At 37.6% G+C, this 21,228-nt stretch overlaps 1 protein-coding gene and 1 pseudogene across 2 annotated transcripts in view; one reads left to right on the top strand and one right to left on the bottom strand.

The window, feature by feature from the left end:
* The window catches only part of TENT5D (terminal nucleotidyltransferase 5D), a 109,806-nt gene extending 92,114 nt beyond the window's left edge, over positions 1-17,692 (bottom strand). The window contains exons 1-3 of the mRNA NM_001170574.2: positions 17,632-17,692; positions 17,480-17,546; positions 10,632-10,696 (exon numbers count right to left, since the gene is read on the bottom strand). The gene's annotated coding sequence lies outside the window, so the exon portion shown is untranslated. The remainder of the gene's footprint in view (positions 1-10,631; positions 10,697-17,479; positions 17,547-17,631) is intronic.
* The window catches only part of CHMP1B2P (charged multivesicular body protein 1B2, pseudogene), a 106,830-nt pseudogene continuing 103,479 nt past the window's right edge, over positions 17,878-21,228 (top strand). The window contains exon 1 of the transcript NR_110646.1: positions 17,878-17,980. The product of NR_110646.1 is annotated as a charged multivesicular body protein 1B2, pseudogene (transcript). The remainder of the gene's footprint in view (positions 17,981-21,228) is intronic.

Below are 21,228 nucleotides of genomic sequence, written 5' to 3'. Positions count from 1 at the left end.
TATGCAAAGATATCTCAAAACTTAAGAATAAGACAAACCAATTAAAAAGTAAACAAGGGCTGCTGGCAAGATGGCAGAATAGGAACAGCTCCAGTCTGCAGCTTCCAGGGAGACCAATGCAGAAGGCAGGTGATTTCTGCATTTCCAACTGAGGTAGCCTGTTCATCTCATTGGGACTGGTTAGGCAGTGGGTGCAGCCCACGGAGGGTAAGCAGAAGCAGGGTGGGCTGTTGACTCACCCAGGAAGTGCAATGAGTTGGGGGCCTCCCTCCCCCAGCCAAGGGAAGCCATGAGAGACTGCGCTATCCGGCCCAGATACTACACTTTTCCTATGGTTTTTCCAGTCCACAGACCAGGAAATTCCTTCGTGTGCCTCTACCATCAGAGCCCTGGGTTTCAAGGACAAAACTGGGCAGCTGTTCAGGCAGACACTAAGCTAGCTGCAGGAGTTTTTTTTTTTTTTTTTTTTTTTTTTGTTTGTTTGCTTCGTACTCCAGCGGCACCTGGAACCCCATAGAGACAGAAGCATTCATTCCCCTGGAAAGGGGGCTGAAGCCAGGGAGCCACGTGGTCTCGTTCAATAGGTCCCACTCCCAAAGAGCCCAGCAAGCTAAGAACCACTGGCTTGAAATTCTTGTTGCCAGCAAAGCAGTCTGAAGTCCACCTGGAACAACGGAGCTTGGTGGGGGGAAGGCCATCCACCATTACTGAGGCTTGAGTAGGTGGTTTTCCCCCGACAGCGCTAAAAAGGCCTGCAAGTTCGCACTGGGCAGAACTCAACAAAGCGTGGCAAAGCGGCTATGGCCAGATTGCCTCTCTAGATTCCTCTTCACTGGGCAGGGCATCTCTGAAAGAAAGGCAGCAGCCTGTCAGTGGCTTATAGATAAAACTCCCATCTCACTGGGACAGAGCACCTGGAGGAAGCGGGGGCTGTGGGCGTAACTTCAGCAGACTTAAACATTCCTGCCTGCCAGCTCTGAAGAAAGCAGCAGATCCAGAAAAGGAGGATTCTACCATTATAGCACTCCAGCTCTGCTAAGGGGCAGACTGCCTCCTCAAGTGGGTCCCTGACCCTCATGCCTCCTGACTGGGAGAATACCTCCCAACAAGGGTTGATAGATACCTCATACAGGAGAGCTCTGGCTGGTATCAGGCTGGTGCCCCTCTGGGACGAAGCTTCCAGAGAAAGGAACAGGCCACAGTCTTTGCTGTTCTGCAGCCTCCACTAGTGATACCCAAGCAAATAGGGTCTAGAGTAGACCTCCAGCAAACTGCAGCAGAGCTGCAGAAGAGGGGCCTGTCAGAAGAAAAACTAACAAACAGAAAGCAATAACATCAACATCAACAAAAAGAACCCCCACACAGAAACCTCATCCAAGGTCATCAACCTCAAAGATCAAAGGTAGATAAATCCACGAACACGAGGAAAAACCAGCACAAAAAGACTGAAAATTCCAAAAACCGGAACGCCTCCTCTCCTCCAAATGATCATAACTCCTCTCCAGCAAGGGCGCAAAACTGGACAGAGAATGAGTTTGATGAGTTGACAGAAGTAGGCTTCAGAAGTTGGGTAATAACAAACCCCTTTGAGCTAAAGGAGCATGTTCTAACTGAATGCAAGGAAGCTAAGAACCCTGACAAAGGTGACAGGAACTGCTAACTAGAATAACCAGTTTAGAGAAGAAAATAAATGATCTGATGGAGCTGAAAAACACAGCACAAGAACTTCGTGAAGCATACACAAGTATCAACAGCCGAATCAATCAAGCAGAAGAAAGAATATCAGAGACTGAAGATCAACTTACTGAAATGAGGAGTGAAGACAAGATTTGAGAAAAAAAAAACATTGAAACGGAATGAACAAAGCCTCCAAGAAATATGGGACTATGTAAAAAGACCAAACCTACGATTGATTGGGGTCCCTGAAAGTGATAGGGAGAATTGAACCAAGTTGAAAAACACACTTCAGGATATTAACTAGGAGAACTTCCCCAACCTAGCAAGACAGGCCGACATTCAAATTCAGGAAATATAGAGAACACCACTAAGATACTCCTTGAGAAGAGCAACCCCAAGACACATAATCGTCAGATTCTCCAAGGTTGAAATGAAGGAAAAAATGTTAACGGCAGCCAGAAAGAAAGGTCAGGTTACCTACAAAGGTACGCCCATCAGACTAACAGCGTATCTCTCTGCAGAAACGCTACAAACTAGAAGAGAATGGAGGCCAATGTTCAACATTCTTAAAGAATTTTCAACCCAGAATTTAATATCCAGCCAAACTAAGTTTCATAACTGAAGGAGAAATAAAATCCTTTGCAGACAGCAAATACTGAGGGATTTTGTCACCACCAGACTTGACATACAAGAGCTCCTGAAGGAAGCACTAAATACGGAAAGGAAAAACCAGTACCAGCAACTGCAAAAACAAGCCAAAATATAAAGACCAATGACACTATGAAGAAACTGCATCAACTAATGTGCAAAATAATCAGCTAGCATCATGATGACAGGATCGAATTCACAAATAACAATATTAACCTTAAATGTAAATGGACTAAATGACCCAATTAAAAGACACAAACTGCCAAATTGGATAAAGAGACAAGACCCATCGGTGTGCTATATTCAGGAGACCCATCTCACGTGCAAAGACACAGATAGGCTCAAAATAAGGGGATGGGGGAATATTTATCAAGCAAATGGAAAGCAAAAAAAAGCAGTGGTGGCAATACTAGCCTGTGATAAAAAAGACTTTAAACCAACAAAGATAAAAAAAAGACAAAGAAGGGCATTATGTAATGGAAAAGGGGTCAATGCAACAAGAAAAGCTAACTAACCTAAATAAATATGCACCCAAAAGAGGAACAACTGGATTCATAAAACAAGTTCTTAGAGAACTACAAAGAGACTTAGACTCCCACACAATAATAGTGGGAGACTTTAACGCCCCACTGTCAATATTAGGCAGATCAACAAGACAGAAAATTAACAAGGATATTCAAGACTTGAACTCAGCTCTGGACCAAGCAGACCTAGTAGACATCTACAGAACTCTCCACCCCAAATCAACAGAATATACATTCTTCTCAGAAGCACATAGCACTTATTCTAAAATCGTCCACATAATTGGAAGTAAAACACTCCTCAGCAAATGCAAAAGAACAGAAATCATAACAGCCTCTCAGACCACAGTGCAATCAAATTAGAACTCAGGATTAAGAAACTCACTCAAAACTGCACAACTACATGGAAACTGAACAACCTGTTCCTGAATGACTATAGGGTAAATAATGAAATTAAGGCAAAAATAATGAAGTTCTTTGAAACCAACGAGAACAAAGAGACAATGTACCTGAATCTCTGGGACACAGGTAAAGCAGTGTTTAGAGGGAAATTTAAAGTACTAAATGCCCACATCAGAAAGCAGGAAAGATCTAATATCGACACCCTAACATCACAATTAAAAGAACTAGAGAAGCAAGAGCAAACAAATTTAAAAGCTAGCAGAAGACAAGAAATAGCTAAGATTAGAGCAGAACTGAAGGAGATAGAGACACGAGAAACCCTTCAAAAAATCAATGATTCCAGGAGCTTGTTTTTTTTTAAAAGATTAACAAAATAGACCACTAGCCAGACTAGAAGAAAAGAGAGAAGAATCAAACAGACACAATAAAAAATTATAAAGGGGAAACACCATTGATCCCACAGTAATACAAACTACCATCAGATAATACTATACACACCTCTATGCAAATAAACTAGAAAATCTAGAAGCAATGGATAAATTCTTGAACACATACACCATCCCAAGACTAAACCAGGAAGAAGTCGAATCCCTGAATAGACCAATAACAAGTTCTGTAATTGAGGCAGTAATTAACAGACTACCAACCAAAAAAAGCCCAGGACCAGACAGAATAACAGCCGAATTCTACCAGAGGTACAAAGAGGAGCTGGTACCATTCCTTCTGAAACTATTCCAAACAATAGAAAAAGAGGGACTCCCCGCTAACTCATTTTATGAGGCCAGCATCATCCTGATTCCAAAATCTGGTAGAGACAAAACAACAAAAAAATTTCAAGACAGTATCGTTGATGAACATAGATGTGAAAATCCTCAATAAAATATTGGCAAACCGAATCCAGCCGCACATCAAAAAGCTTATCCATCACAATCAAGATGGCTTCATCCCTGGGATTCAAGGCTGATTCAACATACATAAATCAATAAAAGTAATCTAACACATAAACAGAACCAATGACAAAAACCACGTGATTATCTCAATAGATGCAGAAAAGGACTTCAATAAAATTCAACACCCCTTCATGTTAAAAACTCTAAGTAAACTTGGTATTGATGGAACATATCTCAAAATAATAAGAGCTATTTCTAACGAACCCACAGCAAATATCATACTGAATGGGCAAAAGCTGGAAGCATTCACTTTGAAAACCGGCACAAGACAAGGATGCCCTCTCTCACCACTCCCATTCAACATAGCATTGGAAGTTCTGGCCAGAGCAATCATGCAAGAGAAAGAAATAAAGGGCATTCAAATAGGAAGAGGGGAAGTCAAATTGTCTTGGTTTGCAGATGACGTGATTTTATATTTAGAAAACCCCACCGTCTCAGCCCAAAATATCCTTAAGCTGATAAACAACTGCAGCAAAGTCTCAGGATACAAAATCAATGGGCAAAAATCATAAGCATTCCTATACACCACAAACAGAGAGCCAAATCATGAGTGAACTCCCATTCACAATTGCTACCAAGAGAATAAAATACCTAGGAATCCAACTTACAAGGGATGTGAAAGACCTCTTCAAGGAGAACTATAAACCACTGCTCAAGGAAATAAGAGAGGACACAAACAAATGGAAAAACATTCCATGCTCATGGATAGGAAGAATCAATATCGTGAAAATGGCCATACTGACCAAAGTAATTTACAGATTCAAGGGTATCCCCATCAAGCTACGATTGACTTTCTTCACAGAATTAGAAAAAACTACTTTAAATTTCATATGGAACCAAAAAAGAGCCAAGACCATCTTAAGCAAAAAGAGCAACGCTATAGGCATCATGCTACCTGACTTCAAACTATACAAGGCTACAGTAACCAAAACAAAAACAGCATGATACTGGTGCCAAAACAGATATATAGACCAACAGAATAGAACAGAGGCCTCAGAAATAACACCACACATCTACAACCATGTTATCTTCAACAAATCTGAGAAAAACAAGCAATGGGGAAAGGATTCCCTATTTAATAAATGGTGCTGGGAAAACTGGCTAGCCACATGCAGAAAACAGAAACCAGACCCCTTCCTTACACACTACACAAATATTAACTCAAGATGTGTTAAAGACTTAAATGTAAAACCTGAAACTATAAAAACCATAGAAGAAAACCTAGGAGATACCATTCAGGACGTAGGCATGGGCAAAGACTTCATGACTAAAACACCTAAAGCAATTGCAACAAAAGCCAAAACTGACAAATGAGATCTAATTAAACTAAAGAGCTTCTGCTCAGCAAAAGAAACTATCATCTGTGTGAACAGGCAACCTACAGAATGGGAGAAAATTTTTGCAATCTATCCATCTGACAAACGTTTAACATCCAGAGTCTACAAGGAACTTAAACAAATTTACAGGAAAAAAACCAAACAACCCCATCAAAAAGTGGGCAAAGGATATGAACAGACATTTCTCAAGACATTTATGTGGCTAACAAACATAAAAAAAGCTCATCATCACTGGTTATTAGAGAAATACAAATCAAAACCACAATGAGATAACATCTCACACCAGTTAGAATGGCCATCATTAAAAAGTCTGGAAACAACAGATGCTGGTTAAGGATGTGGAGAAATAGGAATGCTTTTACACTGTTGGTGGGAGTGTAAATTAGTTCAACCATTGTGGAAGAAAGTGTGGCAATTCCTCAAGGATCTAGAACCAGGAATACCATTTGACCCAGCAATACCATTACTGGGTATATACCCACAGGATTATAAATCATTCTACTATAAAGAAACATGCACACATATGTTTATTGCAGCAATATTTACAATAGCAAAGACTTGGAACCAACCCAAATGCCCATCAATGATATACTGGATAAAGAAAATGTGGCCCATATACACTACGGAATACTATGCAGCCATAAAAAAGAATGAGTTCATGTCCTTTGCAAGGCCATGGATGAAGCTGGAAACCATCATCCTCGCAAACTAACACAGGAAGAGAAAACCAAACACCTCATGTTCTCACTCATAAGTGGGAGCCAAACAATGAGAACACATAGACACAGGGAGGGGAACATCACACACCAGGGCCTGTCCAGGGCTGGGGGGAAAGGGGAGGGAGAGCATTAGGACAAATACCTAATGCATGCGGGGCTGAAAACCGAGATGATGAGTTGATAGGTGCAGGAAACCACCATGGCACATGTATACCTATATAACAAACCTGTACATTCAGCACATGTATCCCAGAACTTAAAGTAAAAAACAAAAAAATAAACAAAATAATCAACAGACACTTGACTAAACATGATATAAATATGACAAGCACATTAAAGCTGCGCACTATCATGAGCCTTTAGATAAATGCAAATAAAAAACATGATGAGATACAAGCACATACCTATAAGAATATCTAAAATAAAAGATAATGACAATACTCAGTGCCAGTGAAGGTATGTGACAACTAGAACTCTTGTATAGTGCTGGTAAGAATGCAAGATGGTATCACAACTCCAGAAAACAGTTTTGAAGTTTCTTATAAAGTTAAGCACGCTTATCACATGCCCCGGCAATCTCACACCTGGCTGTTGGTATATCAATATACACAGCAGTTATATTTGTAAATATCCCAAAGATATTTGGGAATAACCGAAATATCTTTCAGCAGGTGTATGGACAAACAAACTTGGTACATTCATATAATGGGATACTACTCAGTAATAAAAAAGAATACACTTTTTATACAGTGAACCACTTATAGATGAATCCCAAAGGCATTATGCTGAGTTAAAGAAGCCAGTCACATAACATTACATGCTGTATGATTCCATTTAAATGACAATTCTTGAAGGTTTATAACTGTTCAGTGATTACCAGGGTCAGTCAAATGAAGAATATGACTATAACAGATCTATACACAGGGTTATTAAATAGACAAGAATAGGAATGAAAAATGTAGGAGTTACTTCTCAATAACTGGGGAGGGAGGACGTAAAAAGGCAAGGAAGACACTGGATTAGGACAAAATGGTCTTTCTTCAGTTTGGTCATGGTGAAAGCCAGAGTGACAAGAGAATTAGAGCAAGGGCAAAAGGGACCCTTATGGAAACCCTGCAGATTACCATTGTAAGCTCTAACCAGGCAACTCTGGCAATAGAAAGAAAAGAGGAGAAGCTAAGCTGGCTAAAGAGAGAGCCAAGATTTGCTACAGAGAGGGCTTGAAGACAAAATGATAAATGGATATCCTAGTTTCTATTGCTCCAGAGAATATGCAGGAAAAACGGAATCCTTCTATCAACAATCACTCATATGTTTGGAAAATTAAAGTGGGACAAGTAAGGCAGGGATGCTAACAGGGTAATCCCTGGGAGCACCTTTCCCACTTTATCACAGTGATGATATGCTAGGTAGACTCCTCATCATGTTGCAACTTCTCACCTCCAATATGCACCTGGATTGTGACCCCAGGTGATGAAGAAAGATGTCTCAGGTCAAATAGTCTGCACTCCAAAAGGAATTTGCCAGTTACAAGACCTACTGGAATGTTTGGTGGATCTTTCAAGATCCCCTTAGGAATTAAGTTCTAAGGAAGATGAAGAGGTGAGGACAAAGGGGAAATGGTCTGGCATTTTACAAAGGGACTCTCAAGCGAAACTGGAAGGAATCTCTGGAATCTCTGATGATACATGGATATAGGGATATAGGATATATAGGGATATAGGATATAGCAAGAAAAACTAGACATATGACAAAGAACTATATAAAGGTGTAAGGGGAGGTAACAAGAATAAAAAACGTTCCAACTTTTCTGACCATTCTTTGAGGAAGCAGCTAGTTTCTTAAACTGTCACTATTTCTGAGTACTAGTACTCATTATAAATAAACATTATTTTATTGAGAGTAATTCTGTTTTTAAAAGTGAGTGTTCTTTATTCTTTCTATGTTTATAGGTAAAGACCTAGATCTTCTAAGTATAAGAGCACATATAAGAGGTACTGACATTGAGTTTGTGCTATGAATGAAAAGCACTGGAAACTAACATGGGTTAAAATTAGTGTTCACAGGCTTCAAAGTATCTAAATTAATCTTTTGCTTGGGAAGGGGTCTCTTAAGCAAACAGGTAATAATATTTAATTGAGAATATAACATTTCTATTCTTAATATTATTTAAGAAATTGTTTATTGAAACTTCTTTTTGAAATGTGTGCTTAACCTAGAAGAGTGCTACTCATGGAACATTACTAAGCACTACCACTTCTGCTATGATCCATGAATATCAAAGTTATTGAAGTTCAATAACCTTGTGACAATTGAACTAAAGTATTATCAGGAAAAAAGAAGACACATATATGATCAACAAGCATAAGAAAAAAATGCTCATCTTCATTAATCATCAGAGAAATGCAAATCAAAACCATAAGATATACCATCTCACGCCAGTCAGTATGGCTATTATTAAAAAAAAAACAAAAAATAACAGATGTTGGTGAGTTTGCAGAGAAAAGGGAATGCTTACATACTGCTGGTGGGAATGTAAATTAGTTCAGCCACTGTGGAAAGCAGTTTAGAGATTTCTCAAAAAACTTTAACACAGAACTACCATTTGACCCAGCAATCTTATCACTGGGTATACACCCAAAGAAATATAAATTGTTCTACCAAAATGACCCATGCACTCATATGTTAACTACAACACTATTCACAATAGCAAAGAGATGGAATCAACTCAGGTACCCATCAACGGCGGACTAGATAAAGAAAATGTGGTACATATACACCATGGAATGTTACACAGCCATAAGAAAGAATAAAATCATGTCATTTGCAGCAACATAGATGCATCTTGAGGCCATTATCCTAAGGGAATTAATTCAGGAAAAGAAAACCAAATACCACATGTTCTCACTCATAAGTGGGAACTAAACCTTGAGTACCCATTGATTCAGAGGGGAAAAACCGACACCAGGGCCTACTTGAGGGAGGAGGGTGGAAGGAGACTGAGATTCAAAAAAGTACCTATTGGGTACTATGTTCACTCTACCAGGTAACAAAATAATTTGTATACCAAACCCCAGCAACTTGCTATTTACCCATGTAACAAATCTGCACATGTAACCCCTGAACCTAAAATAAAAGGTGACTAATTAAAAAAATAAACCATTAAAAGTATACAAAGTTTAAACTATTTGCAAGGAGTTCTGTTGGTTCCAGGTGTCCAAAGTCATATAAGAAATAAAATGGGCCAGGCGCGGTGGCTCATGCCTGTAATCCCAGCACTTTGGGAAGCTGAGGTGGGCAGATCACCTGAGGTCGGGAGTTCAAGACCAGCATGACCAACATGGAGAAACCCTGTCTCTACTAAAAATACAAAAAAATCAGCTGGGTGTGGTGGTGCATGCCTGTAATCCCAGCTACTCGGGAGGTTGAGGCAGGAGAATCGCTTAAACCCAGGAGGCGGAGGTTGCGGTGAGCCGAGATCGTGCCATTGCACTCCAGCCAGGGCGACAAGAGTGAAATTCCATCTCAGACAAAAAAAAAAAAAAAAAAAGAAATAAAATGACCTGGTCCTAAAGAAAGTTATAAACTAATTAAAGAAATAAGGCACACATATTAAAATATAATAACAATTTATGTTTTAACCAAAGTTGTTTACTAGGGGATGCCACAGTGACTGCACCACTCTGAATGTTCAATACCAAATTTGTAGATGGCACCTTGTCAGAAGTTAATAGGTTTCTAGCAAATATCAAGAAACATGTAATATCTGAGCATTAATGCACTCCTGTACCTGGTATGAGCTGCATTTGTATAATATGAGACTATTAACTAAATCTTCATCTTAATTGTACTGCAGTCTGTGAATTCCTGTAGATCCTATTCTGGGTGTAAAGTATAGAAAATAGGTTGAACTAGAGTTTCCTTTATAAAGTTGACTTAAAAGTATCCAGAGAGTTGTAATGAGGATGAATATGGTAATTTGTAAAAAAAAAAATAAAGATAGACTAATAAGAAAGGAGAAACTAACAGAAAAAAATGCTAGTGGTTTAAACAAAAGACAGACAAAAGCAGAAATCATATAATAGAGAATATGCTTGCCAAACACATGTACATAATGTTTTCTCTCTCTCCAAATTTGAACAACTGCTTATTGAAATCATACATTATTTATTAACATAATTGTCAAAGAGAATTTTCAAGATACTCTTTTCTACCTTGTTCATAAATACATCTTGAATTATGGGTTGTCTAAAAGCTAAAATAAAAAATGAAAGGGTTAATTCACACTAATCTGATGTATGGTCTTTAACAAGTTAAATAATCCCTCATTATTCCTCCAATTTAAAAATTTATTTCTCTCTAACCTTTTTATCTTACCTCCAGCTAGTGAAACTCCAGTTAGATAGATGAGAAGTGTTAGATAATTTCTTTTCACAAATAATCTGAATAAAAAAGAAATAGAAAGTTATTAATTTCTATATAGTCTGGATCATTGCCTCATTCTCATTAAGCCTCAGTTTAGGACCTGACTTAGAAATGGGACAGTTGAGCTCAGTTACCATAGACTCTCACTGTTTTATTTTCAGGCAGCTTAGACACACAATCATTTATGAAACAAAATTGTATGGTTTTTGGGCCAAATATGGAATTTGAGACGTGTTGTAGTGAAAGTGAACATCTTAATGTAAAGTTCTATGAAAAGTCTGATAAGTATCATTTGAGTAAGTTGCTGTCATCTAAGGCCAAGGGTACCCATGAGATTGACTTATAGTTCTTATAGTTCCTTTTTTTAAAATAAATTCTTATTTTGAATTTACCTTTTAATTGAATGTCTCTTTTATTCTAGTTACATGGTAGGTTAAATGATATGTATTTTTTCTCTATATATCTTCATATGCCTTACCCAATACACATTTTAAGAAAAGAATTATGGCCGGGCGCGGTGGCTCACGCCTGTAGTCCCAGCACTTTGGGAGGCCGAGGCGGGCGGATCACGAGGTCAGGAGATCGAGACCATCCTGGCTAACACGGTGAAACCCCGTCTCTACTAAAAATACAAAAAATTAGCCGGGCGTGGTAGCGGGCGCCTGTAGTCCCAGCTACTCGGGAGGCTGAGGCAGGAGAATGGCGTGAACCCGGGAGGCGGAGCTTGCAGTGAGCCGAGATCGCGCCACTGCACTCCAGCCTGGGCGACAGAGCGAGACTCCGTCTCAAAAAAAAAAAAAAAAAAAGAAAAGAATTATTTTCAGTATACCTCAGCTACAACTGACAAACAATGGTTTTTACAATTCTGAGGTTTAGAGAGGATGAAAGCATACTACCAACCTAGATCAGAGCTAGCTATGCAAATCAGATAGGAATTTAACCTGATATGCTTTATGGACTTTTGCCTTATACACTGATCTTGTCCTGTAAATAGTATTTCCTTTTGACTGAACAAGAACATAATAAAAGCCATTTTGGATCAGACCCATAGTCTATCCAGCTCAGTATTCTGTTTCTGATAATGTCAGATGAGCAATGCTGAGCACACAGTAGGCAATCAATATTTCATTGAACTGTTTTTGAAATAAGCAGTCATGTCTGACTTTTAAGGCACAAATCCCATATAAAAGCCAGCTTTTCCGTAAGATGTATGCTAATTTAACTCCTTTCTGAATCATCATTTGCAATATATAAAATCTTTTAACATATAAAATAGTATTTCTTTTATTTACAGTAAAATAGCTATTTCTACCCTGTGTCTCAGTAATCCCACTTCTGGTAAATACTTCAGAGAATTTTTGCAAATGTGCATAGTCACAAATGAATGATTCCAAATGCCCTGTTCTTTCCACTGCCTCCAAAGTGAAAATTTTTACAATGACTTCAAAGTATTGGATTCATATTTTACCAACTTTAGAAAACTGGTTCAAAAGCTAGGAATGATGTTGTTATTTTGCTCTTGCTGTGGCTAATCCTGAAAAAGAGTGGGTGTTTTGCTCTTGCTGTGGCTAATCCTGAAAAAGAGTGGGCTGAAAGATATTTCTGTTGCTATTGTCATCATTTGTCTGTTGGTTTAATGTAAAGACAGCATTAGATAATTCTATAGCTAGATAAATGGTTATCTGGGGGTGATTCTGTCCTTCAAAGGATATTTGGCAATGTCTGGAGACATTTTGGGCTGTCAAAACTTGGGAAAGAAGGTGCTATTGGCATTTGGGCAGTAGAGGTCAGAGATGCTGCTAAGTATTACACTACACAGGACAGTCTCCTCAAAACATTGTACAGACCGAAATGTCTACAGTTCTGCTTGAGAAACTATGATCTAGAGGTGAGAATTTTGGTACATACTATTGCAAATTTTAGAAAAAATATTCAAAAATCATAGAATGTGGGTAATAAAACAAAGAGAAATTGAGAAATTTACAAAGCATGCTACACTCTGTTCCAACCAATTACCAGGTAAAGTAGTAACAACCATGACTTTGACAGATTTTGGATTAGAGACTCGAGAATCAATCTAGAATGAAGAGTAGTAAGAAAGTAACAGTAAATAAAAGCCATATCTAGAATTAAATGTGTAGGTTCTATGGTCAGTAAAATGGGATACAGGAGTCCAGAGTAGTATAGTCCTTTAAGAGAGCCTTTTTTGTTTTGCTTTGTTTTTAACCTTGCCCTCACCTGCCCTTCTGATAAGTCTGTTCTTTTTGCTTTTTCTTCCCTTAAGAGTTTTTTTTCAAACAGCTCTTGGATAGTAAAATCATAGAGATAAGGAAAATGTTTATTAAAAATGAGTTTTCTGAGCACTATGCTTACATTGAAGAATTTTTGAATCCTACAATTCTCAAACCTAATTTGGAATTATCCCTAAAGTATCTGTAATAATAGCAAATGTTTTATTATTTCCTACCATATCATCTTTTAATAATCAATCAACTCAAGTAATAATAAAACTTCATTTTTATTATTCAAGTTTTGAAAAGGTTTCCTGTCAAAGAGAAATTATATGTCTTGGATATTCTGTTAAAATCAAAGATTTTTAGAGAAACAATCTTTTTGATAACTCTCTCTCTCTCTCTCTCTCTCTATATATATATATATATTTCCGATAACTATCTATTATAATCACCAAACGTGATATTTGTTATTAAAATAAAGATCAAATATTAGCACTTTGAGAAATAGTAAACATGTAGATTTATTTTTTCTAATTTTCCAAGACTTTTTTTTTCATTTTATTCTATTCATTTAAATCCTACATTCAGCTTCTCATCTTGTCTCCTTATGTTTATTTGTCACTTCCAAATTATGAATTGGATAGTTTTTCAGGTCACCTGTGACCACCACTAAAACCCACTTCTCTTGTCTTTAAGCTTCTGTTCCCTACAATATCATCTATTTGCTTCTCTTAATAGTGCTTTACCTCTTCTGTAGCTCTAATCTTTTTACTTGTCACTTGAAGAGTTCTAGGCTAGTCTAATGTTCAAATTAAACCTAAAACACCAGAACTATGAAACCAGCAAAGTGTACTCTGCTTGCCCAGGGGGAAAAAACAGTTTTTCTATTATAAGTAGGAAAGACCCTCAGTTTCGACCTCTCTCAAATTTTTAGGAAACTGAGTCTATTTCTTCATATACAAACTAGAAAGATTTCCAGTCAGCTAGAATAAGTCCTCATTTTACTCTTATACTAAATGGGCACCTGAGCTATAGAAACCAAGCAACAGAAGTGGTCTTATTTGTGATTCTGCTTTGCCTATCTGCTACACACATTCAAAAGTACTGCACTGGGAATCAAGAAGACCTAGGTTGAATACCTAGGCAAACCAAATAATCTCTCTGAGCTTCTGTTTTTGTTGTTGTTGCTGTGTTTGTTTTGGAATTTTTTTGTTGTTTTTCTAATTGGTTAAAAATAAAGGATAATACCTGGCCAGATTACCTCAGATTACCTTAGGTATCAAATGAAATGATGTATATGAGACATTCTGTAAACTATTAAGTTTCAGCCCAGTTAAGCTATTTTATGCAATAAATGATTTGTATAATTCTATAGTACTTATTTCCATTATGCAAACAGAAGCAAAACACAGATTCCTGGATCTCACTGCAAATTTACTCTATCAGAATCTGCAGAAGTGAGGCCCAGTAATCTGCATTTTTAAAAAGGACATCAAAGTTTGAGAAATATGACACTATGCTCTCTTCATTTCTAGTGAACTCTTTTTACTTCAATGGGAGTTTGTCAAGTACCATTTAATTTTCTGATCATCTTAAAATCATTTGTTAGAAGACAACAAAAAATGTGTTAACACAAAACAATCATAATATTAAAAATTAAGTGGCTTAGAATCTTGACTGGAATTGTTTCATAAATGTTTTTAACTTAAACAAAGTTTGTTCTCTGTAATACACTGGGTTCAAAACATTTAGAGAACTAAGCATAATTAATCATAAAAAAATTACTCAATTTACAGAGGAATTACAATTTTCCACATTAGTTTTGCTCATGTCAAATTTTAACATGTTCAATAGCTGCTGAGTTAAGATACTGTATTGGTTCTTTACATCTCAATTATCCCAGTCAAATTCACACCTTCTAAGTATCCGCCATATCTGATTTATCAATATGTGACTGATGTTACTTTAGCTAAGCTTTCATAAGTAGAGTTAATTAGGTCCCCAAAGAACAATTTGGAAGATCCTACATCTATTGTCTCTACTATTGTAGCCCTGTTCTAACGGTGAAAGGAGAAAAAGGTAGCAACCTATTTAGGTGAAACAGGGTAGAAGGTATTACTAAATCTGGTAGACAGGAAGAAGCAAAGCCAAGATGTAAGATGATCCAAAACAAAAAATCTGAATAAATATAATAAAGAATGAATAATTGTGCCTACAGTGAAAGAGGAAAATTATCACGCCTGTAATCCTAGCACTTTGGGAGGCCGACGCAGGTGGATTGCCTGAGCTCAGGAGTTTGAGACTAGCCTGGGCAACACGGTGAAACCCCGTCTCTACTAAAATACAAAAAATTAGCCGGGTGTGGCGGCGTGGGCCTGTAGTCCCAGCTACTCGGGAGGCTGAGGCAGGAGAATCTCTTGAACCCAGGAAGCAGAAGTTGCAGCGAGCCAAGATTGCACTGCACTCCAGCCTGGGCAACAGAGCGAGACTCCAACTCCAAAAAAAAAAAGGAAAATTATATTTTTAAAGATAACATTTGGATTTTTAAAAGTTAACCTTAATCATTACTATGATAAAATAAGCATATCCAGATTTCATCCTAACATATTTACTGGAAACGACCCAAATGTCCATCACCAGAACAGATAAATTACAATATATTCATATGGTGGAAAACTCTAGAACAGTGAAAATGAATAAGCGAGCCATACCTATGCACAATAACCTGGTTGAGGAACATTATGAGTTACAAAAATCACAGAAGAAGAAAAGCAGTATCATTTCATGTATACAAAATTAAAAAATAGGCATCACTAAAGGATATGCTGGTTAAAGATGCAAATACTATAGCACAACTATAAAACAGAAAAATTATACATAAATTCAAGACAGCAGCTGCCTCTAAAAATGAAGAAAATAAATGTGATTAGAAAGGAGTATACAAGGGAACTTAAAGGGTATAATATCCTTTTGCTTAAATTGGGTGATAGTTCACAAGTATATATTTGTAATATTGCTTTTATTTTGCACACACATTTTATAAATATTTTATAGGTATTCAATATTTAATATACAACTAAAATGTTATATTTTCTTTCCTTTTTATATTTTCTCTATAATAAAAAGTTTTACTTTAACAGATTTGTTCGTTGCTTTTAACAACACCAGTTATAAATGAATGAATACACATGTACTTTAAATAAATAATGCTATTTCTGTGCCTAAGTGTTAAGAAAAATATAAACCTCGCTTTAAGAAATCAGATATCTAAGAAAAAACAAGAGGGAAATTTTTGGAGTCAAATTTAGTTTGGAACTCACAAAAACAAAAACCACTTCTTAATTTTCTAAATGGTCAGCACAGGCTACGATTCGTCTTTTACTTAAGGCGGACATCAACAACAAATACCCTAACAACAAATATCTTCAGATTTTAATTTTACTAAAAAACTGATCCTATCCTAAAGACCTTTTCCTTAAGAAATTCCACAAAACATTTTCAAAACACTTTTTAAAAAAGGCTTATTCTTATAGCTTAGCTACATATAAGTCTAGGAACTTTATATGAAACTTGAAAATGCTTTAGCTTTAGTGGATTGTTCTGGTCTATATATGGATTTTTTTGAAATAGCTGTGTTAAAAAAATACTAAGAGTCCAGGGAAAATCTTTTTTTTTAATGTTTTTTATCTTTATACCAAAAGAAGTTCTCCAACAGCGAAATACAACTGTTTATCTAGTATAGAAACTGATCAAACAGTGATGAAATCTACTAAGTTTTATCTGTTTCTGTAAAGTCTTAATTCTCAAATATATAGGGACATCAAAAATAAAGCAATCTTTATACAGTTTCACCTACTGAAGTGGTTTCCAGGCTGTACTTTCCTAGAACCTTGTATTTTAAAAGGTTTGTTTTTCCAGCATCGAAGGTTTGTAGTTAGGGTAACAGTCTGAAGCCTACCACCAATTACATTAACACTAAAGAGTAAAACAGTAGTTTTTAGATCCATCTTTCTTTCAAAAAGAAACAAAGATAAAAAGAAACTTATCCAATTAGATGCTTATTTCCCCTATATATTGAAACACTAAAGATGGGAAAAAAATTCGTCAAACTTGTTAAATTCCTTAGTAAGAGAATATACTAATTGTTTTCCCCAAAGCAAAATCTCAGTTCTTCCTTGGAATTTCCAAGGGTTTTGAATTGAAACGAATCGACAATTCCCAGGATGCCCTTCCTTTCCATAAATCCATAGTGTCTAATAACTTTGGAACATTTTCATGTCACATATAAAACGCCAACTACTATCTAGTATTTCACTTAACCTCCTTGCACATTATAGACTTTGTAGTAATTTTCGTATCTTATATATATATTGAAAAAAAAAGTTAGTGCGAATACATATTTCACATAAACTTTACCTATTAAGTCTAGCCTACAACTTTAAGGATCACGAAGCTTTTTAACGCCATAAGTGAACTTCACACCTCAAATTTACCAGCCGCGCTATCCCTTAGACCCTTATTTTATACGACTATAATTTTTTGAAAAATACGTTAAAAGCCCTATACCTTTTTCCTTCATCCGTTAAGGCTTAAACTCTGAGACAATGGTGAGGGGCCAAGGACAGAGTGAAATCTGAGGAAAGAGGTGGGGCGGAAGGTTAAGAAGACTTTGGAGTAGGACAAAAGAAAGAACTAGAAGGTTGGCTGGGTGACGAAACCTTTAGGTGCCAGGTTAGACTGGGTGCAGGCGAAGGACCCAAGGTGGGAGCTGGGGCGCGTAACCTCTTGCCCTCCAGCCCCCCAACGCCCCCAAGCGACTGGAACCCGTTCTAATCGCCGCTCCCCGCGGCAGCCATTTTGGAGTTGCACCAGCCCCGCCCCTCGGAGGCACCCGGCCCCGCCCCCTCGGTCCAGGAGCAGAAACAGGAAATGGGATTGCAAACCTAGTAGCTGCGCGTGCCGGCTATTCAGGACTAGCGCAGGACTCTGGGCGACCTCACATCCCACTCGTGCTGCTGCCCCGGGCACTCGCCTCCCGCGAAAAGTCGTGGGACCACGTCGAATATGGGGAGTATCCTTTCCTGTTTGAAAAGCTGCTCTTAGGGCATAGGGAAAGGTGGGGAGGGCAGAGGTTGGGACCCTGGGAGGTGCCTGGTAGTGACCTTTTTGGTCTAGCTGTGGAGGGCTGAGAGCGCTGGCACCGATTGGTGGGCTCCAGCAGCTTGGTTTTAGTTTTTCTGTTTTTTGTTTTTTTTTTTCCTGGGACTCGCTGCCATCCTAGAATCAGGGGAGGTGGGACTGCTTTAAAGAATGGTCAGGGGAGTCGCCGCACTGGTTTGAGATTTAGAGCGCGAGCCCTCCCACTCTGAGAGCTTCTGTCACCTGTCCTTTAGTGAATTCGTCCTCTTTGAAATTGTTGGGAAACTGTGCGAGAACAGAGGCAAGGCAACAGGAGTTTGCCAGAGGTTTAGGGTGTAGGTGTAGGTTTTGAGTGCAGTACTAGGGCAGATAGCTTTTGTTGAACTTCACTTCTTTTCCTGGGTGGAGGTGACCGGTAAGGAGGTAAAGTGCTTAACACCAAGCCTCCAAACTAAGATGATTGCTTGCTTAATAATAGGATTTAACACATGAGGAAACTCATATAGTTCCCTAAAGCTATAAAATTCATCAATTGCACCTGTGTTCCCACTTAAGAAATGAGGTCAGAGTTTAGAACCAAGCTGTCTAAAGCCCTGAATTAAAGGATGAAATTGTTTTTCACAACGGAAATGTTGTAATTCCTCTTCTTCAAGGAGTTGGTATTATGGAAAATAGAATAGCTTGGTATACTGCCACTGAATGAAACTTGGCAAAATAATAAAATGTGAGTAATAGTAGTTGTTTGATAGCTCATGTTAAAGCTCTTTTAGCTTCATTCGTTTGTAAGCCTACAACATAGAAAGACATTTGGTGAAAGAATTATGTAAGCCATACTGAGAATATTGTTAACATTATATCATGTGCCGGACTGGCCGAGAATAAAATATGAACCCTTGATGGGCACCGATAGGTCATTTCATCAACATAGTAGATGACTAAAAGGTCTACTTATCACTACAGTTTAAAGGATAATAAAGAAAGTGTAGTTGTATTAGCATAATAAAGGGAAGAGCACTGGAATATGAGTCAAATCAATTTCTAATCCCAGTTTATCTTAAGCCTGTGAGTTAGGACAGGTCATATAGCCTCCTGCAAAGCTTACTCATCTGTAATGCATAACTGACCTGCCAACCTTATAAAGCTGTTGTGAAGATGAAATGGAAGTGCTTATTAAATTGTAAAGTTTTGAACATGCTTTTAAGTATGAGGAAATAAATTACAAATCGTATCCCTTTTCCCAGAACCTTTAGAAGTATTTGAGGTAATAGCTCTAAATGAGTTTTTGTTTCCTACTCTAATCAAGTTATTTTTGGTCTAAATCTACCTCATGTAATTTCTGGTAACAAGATAACTACTATACTGACCAATTTTCTTTAACTGAAAGGAATGCCTGACTGTAATCAAAGTTAATGGTACTGTTATCAATAGTTTAATACCCAACAAAAGTGAACGATTAACTTCCCTTCAGTCTACCAAAAAAAAAAAAAAAAAAAGGAGCTTTAACTTGACTCACACCATCTGGCTGTGATTAAGTCTCTTGGTTCATTTATGTGGAATATGTTCAGTCCAGACCTTTTTCTTGGAGTATAGAACAGGAGAATGACATATGGACTCAGAGCCCTCTTCCATAAATAAGTTGAGCTCTATCTTGAGTAACACTTGTCACCTTTATAAATGCAAAAATCCCTTTGTTATAGTATATAAGAAGACTGTGCTGACACAATTCGATTAGCATGATCATTTTGACTTCTGTCTTTGGAGCAATATTTGCACAAGGTGTTTAGGGACTAGGGTTAGATTAACTATAGGGATGAAACAATAGTAAAAAAATAAGGGATACTTTTCTGGTCCAAGCTTTCTCTCTCTGACACGCACGCGGTCGCTCTCTCTTGCTCGCTTTCTCTCTTTTTGCTTCTCTACAGTTTTACCTCTCTTCTGGGTAACTCATAACTCATTTTGTTGTTGTTGGACTTAGCTCAAGCGTGCTTCATTTACAGGAGGTTTTCCATCTTCCTAATCTTCTAACCTACCATCCCCTCCAAAACTAGGAATATGAGAGTATCAGTTCCCACCAGTTTCTATGCTGTCCTCTTTTCCCCATGTTTTACCATCTGTAGCCTCCCCAAGCCTCCCATTGTAATCATATGTTTACTTATTTATCTCTTTCATTAGACTGTGAGTTGTTGAAGGATGGCTTTTATATTTATAATCTTTGAATCCTCATTTCCTTAAACAGCACTGGGCCATAGTGGGCACAAAATAAGTTACCTTCTATTAAGATTTAATTATTAGCATATATTTGAATCTCTACCATGGGCTAAACAATGCACCTAGGCTATGGATACATAGAGGGTTATAAGATCCATCCCCAACTTTGAGCAGCTTTTGATCTAGTGAAGCCAGGACACACATGGGTGGGAATAAATAACAATACAAGGAAGCGCATATTAACTGAGATGAATGATAGAACAGCATTTTTTTTAAAAAAATTATCTTTTAAATTCTGGGATACATGTGCAGAACGTGCAGGTTTGTTACATAGGTATACATGTGCCATGGTGGTTTGCTGCACCCATCAACCCGTCATCTACATTAGGTATTTCTCCTAATGCTATCCCTCCTCTTGCCCCCCACCCCCTGACAGGCCCCAGTATGTGATGTTCCTCTCCCTGTGCCCATATGTTCTCATTGTAGAACAGCAATTCTTGATCCCACTGTGGACTTGCTAAACTCTTTGAAATTGTGTGCAAAATTTTGTATGGTAGCATATGCATTTTCTTGGGAAGACTGTCTACAGCTGTCATCTTTCTCTAAGAGATTCTAACCTGAAAAAGGTTAAGAACCAACAAAGTAGGTAATAAGTACTGTACATATTCTGAAAGTAGAGAGATGGATGTTCTAGATTGGTATTGTCTCCTTCCATAGTCACCCAGACAGCTCAGACTGTGTTATAGGCAAAGATTGCCAGCTACCTTAAAAATGTTACCCATTTTGAATCTTCTGAATCTCTCTAAATCCTAAAGCAGAACTAATTACTCTTAGTCTCTGAGGCTTTGATAGTGCTGAAAAATGGTATTTTGACTAAGATATTAATATTTCAAATTTGCTTTTAAAATTTACTTGACAGTAGCCCTATAATTTATGGCCTGACTAGTCAGTAAAATGTTTTATAATAA

The sequence above is a fragment of the Homo sapiens genome, chromosome X, assembly GCF_000001405.40.
Source record: "Homo sapiens chromosome X, GRCh38.p14 Primary Assembly".
NCBI classification, from domain to species: Eukaryota; Metazoa; Chordata; class Mammalia; order Primates; family Hominidae; genus Homo; species Homo sapiens.
Note: the sequence above shows the minus strand (reverse complement) of the source record. Positions and strands in the feature narration are given on the sequence as shown.